This window comes from Homo sapiens, chromosome 8 (genome assembly GCF_000001405.40).
Source record: "Homo sapiens chromosome 8, GRCh38.p14 Primary Assembly".
Classification (NCBI taxonomy): Eukaryota; Metazoa; Chordata; class Mammalia; order Primates; family Hominidae; genus Homo; species Homo sapiens.
The window spans coordinates 122,484,364-122,496,965 of NC_000008.11; the positions used below are offsets into that span (position 1 = coordinate 122,484,364).

The window sequence follows — 12,602 nt, forward strand, 5'->3', positions numbered from 1 at the left end:
CATTCCAGGTAGCCATGACCAAGACACAGAAGCAGAAAATCAATGATTAATCTCTGCCTTTTTCTACTTATAATTCCCTCTCCTTAGAATCTTCACCCTAATTGTTCCTTTCCATCATAGTAGTCAACCTTCTGTCCCTAACAATGGCCCAGACTCTAAGCATTTGTTCAGTCAACTTCAGCCTAAAATATCGCTTAATTTATTTGCAGTTAAATTGTGTTTAATTTCCCTTTCCTTCTTTTAAGAATGGCCTTTATATTTCCTTTTTCCTGTTACTGCCAAAACCAGCGCTTCCCCCTTATTAACGGTGTCTTGGTTTCATGCTACTGTGAGGCACTGGTATACACAGGGAGATGGCTCCAGCCCCAGGGATAGATCATGATTGACCTTCTCCAGTCACTGCAATCACCTCTCTCACCCAGTGATGGTTTAAGGTGATAGCCATGTGTGCAAGATCTAGACTATGATAAATGAGGGGAAATCTGAAGAGGGTCAGGGGAAGCAGGATGTTAGGAGAGATTTTCCTTCTTAAGAAAAAGATACAACAAAGAAAAATGTTCTCTTCCTTTCTTCTTTCTTTCCTTCCTCCCTGACTTTGATGTTGTTATTTGAAAATGTGGCGTTTGAAGTTTAGTCAGCCATCTTTTTGCCAAGAGGAGGAAGTCAAGAGAATAAGAAGGAAGCTGACCCAAAGTCCTGACATCACTGAGCTTCTGTATTAGCCCCCTCCAATGTACTCCTCCAGATTTCTCGTTGCATGAGATAAGAAAGCCCTTTGCATTAGCCGCTTGTCTTAGTTTGGGATGTTGTAACAGAATATCATGAACTGGATGGTTTTTAAAAACAGTTATTTATTTCTCACAGTTCTGCAGAATTAGAAGTCCAAGATCAAGGTGTCAGCAGATCAGATGTCTGTTGAGGGCATTATTCCTGGTTTGCTGATGGTCATCCTATTGTGTCCTCACCTGGTGGAGATCAGAGAGGAAGCAAGCTCTTCTTTGTCTTTTCTTGTAAAGGCACCAATCCCATCATTCTCTACTGTCATGACAATTACCTCCCAGAGGCCCCATCTCTGAATACCAGCCCATTGGGGATTAGGGTTTCAGCATATGGATTCAGGGGACACATAAACATTCAGTTCATAGCACCACTTTTTTTTTTCATAGCACCAATTTTATTTGGATATTCTGTTACTTGCAGCCAAAAGAATATTAAATGAATCACTACCCAAGGCTAGCTGCACCCCCACTATGCAGACATATTCCTCTCATTTATTTCCCCTATGCACGGCAGCTATCAGCTCTGTAAGATATCAAATGTGTCTTGAAATCCCTGAAAAAAAGAATGAAGATGAGAGTCTCATTAGGTGTTCTTTGTAGGCTAGGGCCCAGGGTCCCACACAGGTAAGACTCTGGCTTCCTAATCCAAAGGTTAGAGGCTTCAAATCCTTTCTCTTTCCTTTTGAGAAAATACAGGTAAGACAGTTCTGCCTTGTAAATATTCATATTAGAGACTAAAATTGGGGGCCAGCAGTGTCTTCGTGCCATTTTATCCAGACCTAGCATACAGAAGTTGTTAAATAACTATTTGATGGATAAACAGATACATTCCATACATTTTCACACAGAAGAAACTCATTGCAATAGGTAGGATTAGGTTTGGCAGCAAATGGCAAAAGAAATGACAGTGGATTAAACAAAATGGAAATATGTTTTCCTATATTCATGTGAATATAGGTGAGTGTGGAGCCTTCCTGACCCTTCCAACCTCCTTCTCTCTTATTGCCCCACTATTCTCAATGTGTGTTTTCACCATGTGCTGTAATATTTCTGCTCCAGTTCTCTCCATCACATCTGAATTTTAACCAGCAGGAAAGAGAAGAGAGGAGTGGGCACACCACTTATATTAAGGATACTTCATACAGTTGCAAATCCACCGACCAAAGCTCCACCCCATTGGTCAGAACTGAACCTCCAGGCTTTCCCTTGGTGCTGGATATTTTCTGTTTGTCCCTTCACCACATCCAACTTCACCCTTTTCTACGCTGTCTTGTGCTGTCAAGGATTTACCTGAATTGATGACATCAGTGGGCCCCCTGGCTTTCTGGCTTCTACTGAGTACAGCCAGTGGGAGACACACTCAGGAACGGAGGAGGTGAAGGACGTTAAGACTGGCCCTCCAGCTTGCTCTCTTCTAAGTCTATGTGGGTTGGCACTATCCCTCTATCTAGTGCATGAGCAAGAATGGTCTACTTCAGGTTGCAAACAATAAAGGCTACATTGCCTGTAGATAATTTAAAAGCAATAAGAAAGCCAAATAAAAGTCTACCAACTTTTTATTATCACCATCCACAGACAATTCTAAACAATGTCAATAATAAAACACTCTTCCTGCCAGGAACAGACCATTCCCATCTCCACCCCTTCCCCAGGGCAGCCACCACATCTCCCAAGGCAATTCCTGTCACTCACCCCTTCCTACTCAGTTACTCTGGAGGTTTGGTGACCACTTCTTCCCCTGGCTTCTCAGGCCTAGGGATGGTAACAGCTCTCTGCATATGCTCCACTGAGTTTCTAAAAACCCTGTACCGCACACACCTTTGTAAATAGTCTCTTTATTAAACTCTGGTCAATTATCCAGTTTAAGTGTGCCACGCATTTCTTACTGACATCTCAGCTGATACTATCCAGTAGCAAGGAAGTTTTTATTCTGAAGTGGCCACGAGCCAAAATAGAGATGTTATTATTGAGAAAAAAAATGGATAAAATAAATATTGGAAAAAATCAATCTCTGCCACCCTCTTTTATTATACTTTAAGTTCTGGGGTACATGTGCAGAACATGCAGGTTTGTTACATAGGTGTACATGTGCCATGATGGTTTGCTGCACCCATCAACCCGTCATCTACATTAGGTATTTCTCCTAATGCTATCCGCCCCCAGTGCCCTACTCCTCGACAGGCCCCAGTGTGTGATGTTCCCCTCCCTGTGTCCATGAGTTCTCATTGTTCAACTCCCACTTACCAGTGAGAACATGTGGTGTTTGGTTTTCTGTTCTTGTGTTAGTTTGCTGAGAATGATGGTCTCCAGCTTCATCCATGTCCCTACAAAGGACATAACTCATCATTTTCTGCATGGTATTTCATGGTGTATATGTGCCACATTTTCTTTATCCAGTCTATCATTGATGGGCATTTGGGTTGGTTCCAAATCTTGGCTATTGTGAACAGTGCCGCAATAATCATACCTGTGCATGTGTCTTTATAGTAGAATGATTTATAATCCTTTGGGTATATACCCAGTAATGGGATTGCTGGGTCAAATGGTAATTCTGGTTCTAGATCCTCGAGGAAACGCCACCCTGTCTTCCACAATGATTGAACTAATTTATACTCCTGCCAACAATGTAAAAGCATTCCTATTTCTCCACATCCTCTCCAGCACCTGTTGTTTCCTGACTTTTTAATGATCACCATTCTAACTGGCATGAGATGGTATCTCATTGTGGTTTTGATTTGCATTTCTCTAATGACCAGTGATGATGAGCTTTTTTTCATATATTTGTTGGCTGCATAAATGTCTTCTTTTGAGGAGTGTCTGTTCATATCCTAAGTATTGATGGAACGTATCTCAAAATAATAAGAGCTATTTGTGACAAACCCACAGCCAATATCATACTGAATGGGCAAAAGCTGGAAGCATTCCCTTTGAAAACCAGCAAAAGACAAGGATGCCCTCTCTCACCACTCCTATTCAACATGGTATTGAAAGTTCTGGCCAGGGCAATCAGGCAACAGAAAGAAATAAAGGGTATTCAAATAGGAAGAGAGGAAGTCAAATTGTCTCTGTTTTCAGATGATATGATTATATATTTAGAAAACCCCATTGTCTCAGCCCAAAATCTCCTTAAACTGATAAGCAACTTCAGCAAAGTCTCAGGATACAAAATCCATGTGCAAAAATCACAAGCATTCATATACACCAATGATAGACAAACAGAGAGCCAAATCATGAGTGAACTCACATTCACAATTGCTACAAAAAGAATAAAGTACATAGGAATAAAACTTACAAGGGATGTGAAGGGCCTCTTCAAGGAGAACTACAAACCACTGCTCAACAAAATAAAAGAGGGCACAAACAAATGGAAAAACATTCCATGCTCATGGTTAGGAAGAATCAATATCGTGAAAATGGCCATACTGCCCAAAGTAATTTATAGATTCAATGCCATCCCCATCAAGGTACCATTGACTTTCTCCACAGAATTAGAAAAAAACTACTTTAAATTTCATATGAAACCAAAAAAAGAGCCCGCATAGCCAAGACAATCCTAAGCAAAAAGAACAAAGCTGGAGGCATCATGCTACCTGACTTCAAAGTATACTACAGGGCTACAGTAACCAAAACAGCATGGCACTGGTACCAAAACAGATATCTAAACCAATGGAACAGAACAGAGGCCTCAGAAATAACACCACACATCCACAGCCATCTGATCTTTGACAAACCTGATGAAAACAAGCAACGGGGAAAGGATTCCCTATTTAACAAATGGTGCTGGGAAAACTGGCTAGCCATATGCAGAAAACTGAAACTGGACCCCTTCCTTACATCTCATTTTTTTTTTCCTTTTTCAAACTTGGAATTTACAAATCTACCAAATGAAAACACTCTTCTGATTGTTCCCAAAGCTTTCACTCCTCTAACAGCTTTTGCCACTTCCCTCCAAGGAAGCTTTCAAGGAAACTACCTCAATGGGTGCAAGTGAATGATACATCAAATTTCTAGCCCTAAAGCCAAGTAAAAGGAATTTGACTATGTCCTGATCTTGATTCAGATGTGTCCTTCAGTACAGATTGTGTTTGTAGCACTGTCCAACTAGCCAATCAGCATGGGATCCTAACCAATTAGAACAGACATTCTCCAGGGTGCCATTCCAGCCCCTACCAGCTGGATATCTTCCCTGCCCCTAGGAAAGCTGAAAGTAGAGCAACTTGACCTCATCCCTGTACCCACTAACTCTGGACACCTCTTAATATCCATGTCTTTATCCATGTTTTGCAAAGTCAGGCCTATCTACACCAACACAACCTCGCCTCCTGGGCTGGATCAGTGTCTCCACAGGAGGGCAACTTGACAGATCCTGTTTCTTAACTTTCACTCCAGCTAGCACTCACTTTTAGCTTGTCATTATCCACATAGCTACTGCCCTGGAGTATGAGTTTTATTAAGGTGAAAGCAATGTTTAGAGGCAATAACATGGTTTAGGATGAACAATTAATTGAAGAATTTTTGTTTCCCTCTCAACCTCCAAAATAAAGTACCTAGTAAATTTGGATTTCATTGTCTGGTTGCAAAACAACCTGCCCTGGGGGAGCCTCTGAAAGGAGTCACCAGGCAGCGATGAGATGTGCTTTTCAAAGCCATGTCACGGTCATGGTAATCAGCAGACAGATCCCTATTGTGCAGAGCCCTGCCGCAGGGCCCACAGGGCAGGGCTTCCTGTGAGTGGGCTGCTGGTTGTTTGTGGTTGCTACAACAAAGCCTTAGAGAGAACTTTCTGGGGGGCCAATGTTCAAAGTCCACACAAGGCTGAAATCAGGTCTCAGTTCTGCTCCTTGTGTTTGACTAGAAATGCCAAGCTCTTCAGAAAGTGAGACAGAATATTATCCAAGGAAATGTGGAGGGTGAGTTTTGTTTTCACTGGTTATTTTCATGACTGTGCCAGACACTTCACACACACACACACATCACCTCTAATCTTCACAAGAGCCCAGTGAGATAAGTATCACTGTCCTTGTTTGCAGAAAAGGAAACTGAGGCTCAGAGATGTAAATAACTCTGTGGCCCCTCAGCAGCTGGGAAACAGAGCAGTGATTGGAACTCAGGTTGACCTGACTCCAAAGCCCCATCCTACAGTCCCCACCCACCTTTCCCAGAACTGTGCAGAGGGCCAGAGGTAAGGCCCGATAGATACAAACCTTCAACCATGGCCTGCAGGGGTTGAAGTGGGCTGCACAGCAGACCAAGTTGCTGCGCTGGAGAGGAAGATAATTGTATTATCATGGTAGCATCACAGCAATGCAGGCCAGCTTCCTGAGCCAGGTGGACAAGGTGGTAATCAGCAGAGGATGAGAAAATAAGACAAGATGGGGCAGGACGAGGTGGGTGGATCACGAGGTCAGGAGTTCAAGACCAGCCTGGCCAAGATGGTGAAACCCCATCTCTACTAAAAATAGAAAAATTAGCCAGGCACAGTGGCAGGCACCTGTAATGCCAGCTACTCGGGAGGCTGAGGCAGAGAACCACTTGAACCTGGAAAGCAGAGGCAGCAGTGAGCCAAGATCGCGTCACTGCCCTCCAGCCTGGGCAACAGAGCGAGACTCCATCTCAACCAAAAAAAAAAAAAAAAAATAGACAAGATGGGTTTGTCAATTATCTTTTGCTATATGACAATCCACTTAGAAACTTAGTGGAGTAAGAGAGTAAAATATATTATTTCTCATGATCTGTGCTTGTGCTGGTGGTTCTGCCCCACTTTGTATCACACAGGGGTCATTTATGCAAGTGCATCCTGCTGAAGGCTGGTATATTTTGGAAGTTTAGAGGCCTCTCTGAAGAGTTTGGGCCTTGGTGCTAGCTGTTGGCTGAGGGGCTTCAGTTCTTTTCCATGTGGTCCTTAGTACTGTGTGGCATTTTACCTCTCAGTGTCTCTCCATATGTCCTCTCTCTTCAAGAGGATAGCTTGGACTTCCTTACATCATGGTGGCTGACTCTGAGCAAACAAAAGCAGAAGCTTCCAGGCCTCTTAAGGGCTAGTCCTGGAGCTGACACAGTATCATTTCTGCCACATTCCATTAGTTAAAGTAAATCACAGGCCAGCCTGGATTCAAGGAGAGGGGAAATAGACTCCATTTCTAAGTTGGTGGGGCAACCTGTGCACCGAGGGAGGTGGGAACTTGTTGGCAGTTATCTTTGGAGAAAATCACAGTGGATATGCCACAGATTCCCTCAGGCAGCATATACCCTGCAGAGGCTGTGGGGAGAAGGGTATCTCTGCAGCATGGTGAAGGGCCTTGTCTAGAATGCCAGCTCTAGTGATAGGGTATGGCTGCCCAGGGTATACAATGAAAAGGCTTGTAAAGCAGCATCTGGGACCAGCAGGAAAAAAGATTTCAACTGAGTCATTCATTAATTCATTCCTCCTTTGTTTGAAAAAATATTTATCAAGCACCTCTGTTGTCCTACTCTTCCAGGCACTGGGGATAAAGCAATGAAAGCTTATCCTTTCTCAAGGAGTTCACACTCTAGTAAGGGAACTAGACAATAAATAGGTAAATAAACGTGTAATGTGTTAGGTAAAAATTAGTGCTAAGAAAGAAAATAAAATGAATAAGTGAGTAGTGATAGGAGACTGCTAGGGTGTGAATGTTTGTGTTCCTCCAAAATTCATGTGTTAAAATCTAATCCTCAATGTGGGGATATTAGGAGGTGTGGCCTGTGGAGGTGACTGAATGATGAGGTTGGTATCCTCATGAATAGGATGAGTGCCCTAATAAAAAAGGCTTATTAGTGCCCTAATAAAAAAGGCTTGAGCCCTTCCACTATGTGAGGACATGCAAGAAGCCACCACCTATGAGGAATAAGCCCTTACTGGACACTGAATCTGCCCACACCTTGAGCTTAGACTTCCCAGCCTCCAGAATAGTAAAAATAAATGCTATATATAAATTACCCAGTCTAAAGAACTTTGTTACAGCATGAGGAACAGACTAACACAGAGGCCTCTCTAATAAGGTAACATATGAACAGATGCATGAATGAAGAAAGAAGACTGGCTGTGTGGGTAAGGCAGGGAAGAACATTCCAGAGGGAACGGTTAAGGCAGAGGCCCTAGTGCCTCAGTCTGCTCAGGCTGCTATAATAAATTACCATAGCCTGGGTGGTTAAACAACAAACATTTATTTCTCACAATTTTGGAGGTTGGAAGTCAGAGATGGTGGTGCCAGCATGATCAGGTGCTGGTGAGGGCCCTCTTTCAAGTTGCAGACACTCAGCTTCTTGTATCCTCGCAAGGCGGAAGGAGAGCAAGAACACTCTCTTCCCAAGGGTTCCCTGTGACCTTATTATCTCCCTAATTGTACCAGCTCTAATACCATCACCTGAAGGAGTTAGGAATCCAAATATGAATGTGGGGGGACACCATCATTCATTCCATAACACCTAGGAAGAGCATTCCAGGCACATGTGAGGAATGCTGTGGCTGCAGCAGAGTTAGCAAGGGGGAGAGTGCTGGGAAAGGAGATGGAGGCACCAGGGGCTGGAAATGAGGTTCTGTTGTAGGTGGGTGAAGATGGTCCAGCTATGTTCTATGTTGCCACTGTTTGATAGAAACACAATGTGAGTCACGAATACAAATCACATGTCATTAAAATGTTCTTACAACTACATTTTATTTTGTCTTTTATTTTAGCTTTGAGGGTATATGTGAAGGTTTACTACATAGGTAAAGACATGTCATGGAGGTCTGTTGTGCAGATTATTTCATCACCCATGTATTAAGACCAGTACCCAATAGTTATCTTTTCTGCTTCTCTCCCTTCTCCCACCCTCCCCCATCAAGTAGACCCCAGTACCTGTTGTTTCCTTCTTTGTGTTCATAAGTTCTTATCATTTAGCTCCCACTTATAAGTGAGAACATGTGGTATTCAATTTTCTGTTCCTGCATTAGTTTGCTAAGGATAATAGCCTCCAGCTCCATCCATGTTCCCACAAAAGACATGAACTCATTCTTTTTTTATGGCTGCATAGTATTTCCATGGTGTATATGTATCACATTTTCTTCATCCAGTTTGTCATTGAATGAGCTTTTATGTTGATTCCATGTCTTTGTATTGTGAATAGTGCTACAATAAACATTCACTTGTATGTGTCTTTATGGTAGGATGACTTACATTCCTCTAGGTATATACCAAGTAATAGGATTGCTGGGTCAAATGGTAGTTCTGCTTTGAGCTCTTTGAGGAGTCACCATACTGCTTTCCACAATGCTTGAACTAATTTACACTCCCACCAACAATGTATAAGTGTTCCCTTTTCTCCACAACCTCACCAGGATCTGTTATTTTTTTATTTTTTAATAATAGATATTCTGACTGGTATGAGGTGATATCTCATTGTGACTTTGATTTGCATTTCTCTAATGATCAGTGATATTGAGTTTTTTTTCACATACTTATTGGCCACGTTTGTCTTCTTTTGAAGAGTGTCTGTTCATGTCCTTTGCCCATTTTTTAAAGGGGTTGTTTTTTTCTTGTAAGTTTGTTTAAGTTCCTTAAAGATGCTGGATATTAGACCTTTTCCAGATGCATAGTTTGCAAATATTTTCTCCCTTTCTGTAGATTGTCTGTTTACTGTTGATAGTTTCTTTTGCTGTGCAGAAGCTCTTAAGTTTAATTAGAGCTCACTTGTCAATTTTTCCTTTTGTCACAATTGCTTTTGGTGTCTTTGTCATGAAATTGTTGCCAGTTTCTATGTCCAGGATGGTATTGCCTAGGTTGTCTTCCACAGTTTTTATAGTTTTGTGTTTTACATTTAAGTCTTTAATCCATCTTGAGTTGATTTTTGTGTATGGTGTAAGGAATTGGTGCAGCTTCAATCTTCTGAATATGGCTGGCCAGTTACCCCAGCACCATTTATTGAATAGGGAGTCTTTTCTTCATTGCTTGTTTTTGTCAGCTTTGTCAAAGATCAGATGGTCATAGATGTGTGACATTATTTCTGGGTTCTCTATTCTGTTCCATTGGTCTGTGTGCCTGTTTCTGCACCAGTACCATGCTCTTTTAGTCACTGTAGCCTTGTAATATAGTTTGAAGTTGTAACATGATGCCTCCAGTTTTGTTCTTTTTGCTTAGGATTGCCTTGGCTCTTCAGGCTCTTTTTTGGTTCCAAACAAATTTTAAAATAGTTTTTTTTCTAGTTCTGTGAAGAATGTCATTGGTAGTTTGATAGGAATGGCATTGAATCTATAAATTGCTTTGGGCAGTATAGCCATTTTAATGATATTAATTGTCCTTATCCACGAGCATGGAATGTTTTTCCATTTCTTTGTGTCTTCACTAATTTCTTTGAGCAGTGTTTTGTAATTCTCATTGTAGAGATCTTTCACCTCTCTGGTTAGCTGTATTCCTAGGTATGTTATTCTTTTTATATATAGCCACATTTTAAAAAGTAAAAAGAACTAGGTATAAACAAGTTTTAGTTTATACCTAGTTTAGTAATAGATTTTGTTTAATATAATATAGTATATGAAGTATATGAAAAATATGAAATATATGAAAAATATTATCATTTCAACATGTAATCAATATGAAATTATTAATAAGAAATTTTACATTTTGTCATACAAAATCCTCAAAATCTAGTGTGTGTTTTACACTTAATAGCACATCTCAGTTTAGACTAATGGTATTTCAGGTGCTCAGTAGCCACCAGTGGCTAGTGGCGACCACATGGGACAGTATAGATCTTTAGCCTATAAAGCAGTATTTCTCATACAGAGCTACCTCAGAATACTGGCCTTGATATGTTAATAAATACACTGGAAAGATAGGCAAATAATGTGTTCTGTGGTCAAATAAATAAAGCTGGAGAAATACTAGTTAAACAAATTGTAAAATGTTTTCTTTCAGCAGAACACCTCAGAACTATTAATAGGATAAGTTATTCTAGGAATCTCCTGGAGAGGCAAAAACTAAGAATAAAGGAATCAATTTTTAAGAGCTGTGTTCTGGGGAGGCCTAGGAGCTTTCACAGAGAGACTTTGGAGAGACTCCTACCCTACTCTGGTTACAAAGCAAGTAAGCTCTGAATTCCCCCATTTCCAGTTCAGCAGCTCTGCTATCATTTGTATTTTTTTCCTTGTTTATCATTTAATATACCTTAATTGAAAAAGGGTTGTAAATCTTTTCTTAAACCCTTGGGTTCTCTAAACAGCTTTCACACATACCTCAGAAGGTGGCCTTAGATGCTGAAAGTGTTCTTTAGGAAACAGCTTTGCAAAGGAGCTTGGGGGCAAACCTCACCTGACACAGCCTCCTCTTCAGTGCAGACTCACCTCGTCATTGTTGTAGCCACAAGAAGAGCTGTGAGCACAGCCTGGTGGCACCTCACCTGAAACCTTTATCCTCACCAGCATGTGGCTGCGCTGATCTGGGCTGTTTATTCATGAATGACCAGTTCCTGGTGCTCCCTTCATACAGGAGTGTTCTGCAGTTTTTTAAAGCAAACCTGAGGCTGGGCGCAGTGACTCAAGCCTGTAATCTCAGCACTTTGGGAGGCCGAGGTGGGCAGATCACAAGGTCAGGAGATTGAGACCATTCTGGCTAACATGGTGAAACCCCGTCTCTACTAAAAATACAAAAAATTAGCCAGGCACGGTGGCGGGCGCCTGTAGTCCCAGCTACTCGGGAGGCTGAGGCAGGAGAATGCACGAACCCAGGAGGCAGAACTTGCAGTGAGCCAAGATCGTGCCACTGTACTTCAGCCTGGGCAACAGAGCGAGACTCCATCTCAAAAAATAAAAATAAAAAATAAAAATAAAAGCAAACCTGAGACTTGACGGACAAAGGCCGTAATTTCTGTTTGCACCTGCAGTGGAGCCCAGAGGTCTCCTGATGGCAAATTCTCTCTCGTCCATTTCAACCCTTGAGCATGGACAATACTCTGTTTAGTCCCTAAAAGAAAAGGCATTCCATGAGGCATTAGTGAGAAATGTATATTTAATTAAAGACTTATACACTATTGGTGGGAATATAAATTAGTACAACGATTGTGGAAAGTGTGTGATGATCTCTCAAAGAGCTAAAAATATGGAACTACCATTTGACCTGGCAATCCCATTACTGGGTATATATACCCAAAGGAATATAAATCACTCTACCATAAAGACACATACATGCATGTGTTCATTACAGCACTATTCACAACAGCAAAGACATGGAATCAAACTAAATGCTCATCAATGGTGGACTGGATAAAAAATATATGGTACATGTACACCATGAAATACTATGCAGCCATACAAAAGAATTAGGTCATATCTTTTGCAGGAACATGGATGGAGCTGAAGGCTATTATCCTTAGCAAACTAATGCAAGAACCGAAAACCAAACACCACATGTTCTCACTTATAAGTAGGAACTAAATAATGAGAATACATGGACACATAGAGGGGAACGACAGAGGATGGGGCCTAACAGAGGATGAAGAATGTGAGGAGGGAGAGGATCAGGAAAAATAACTAAAGTGTACCAGGCTTAATACCTGGGTGATGAAATAATCTGTACAACAAACCCCCATGTCACGAGTTTACCTTTGTAACAAACCTGCACATGTGCCCCTGAACTTAAAATTTTTTAAAAAAGAAAATTTAAAAAGATTTTTTCAAAGACTTTTGTAGAGAGAGCAGAGTTTAACTAACAGTATTTCACTTTAGAAAAATTCCTGTGAGGCATGTTTCTTTTCACAAAATCTCTCCAGGATGCTCCACCACCATACTGACTTATCCATTTCCCTCCCTGTCTGTCTGAGTCTCTTTGT

General features: G+C 41.3%; 2 long non-coding RNA genes across 2 annotated transcripts in view, besides 1 other annotated feature; both read right to left on the bottom strand.

Annotated features, from left to right (window-relative positions):
• The window catches only part of SMILR (smooth muscle induced lncRNA, enhancer of proliferation), a 154,318-nt gene that overhangs the window by 70,037 nt on the left and 71,679 nt on the right, over positions 1–12,602 (bottom strand). The gene's annotated exons all lie outside the window — the stretch shown is intronic.
• On the bottom strand, positions 832–3,053 carry LOC107986972 (uncharacterized). Its single transcript, XR_001746069.1, has 2 exons — positions 3,024–3,053; positions 832–965 (listed from the first exon to the last, which is right to left on the bottom strand). It is a non-coding gene; the product is annotated as an uncharacterized LOC107986972 (long non-coding RNA).
• Positions 4,506–5,392: an enhancer, noted in NCBI's record as "NANOG-H3K27ac hESC enhancer chr8:123501108-123501994 (GRCh37/hg19 assembly coordinates)". NCBI's record gives its function as "activates a minimal SCP1, AML or CMV promoter by ChIP-STARR-seq in primed H9 embryonic stem cells {active_cell/tissue: H9 hESC(primed)}" and the evidence as "EXISTENCE:reporter gene assay evidence [ECO:0000049][PMID:30033119]".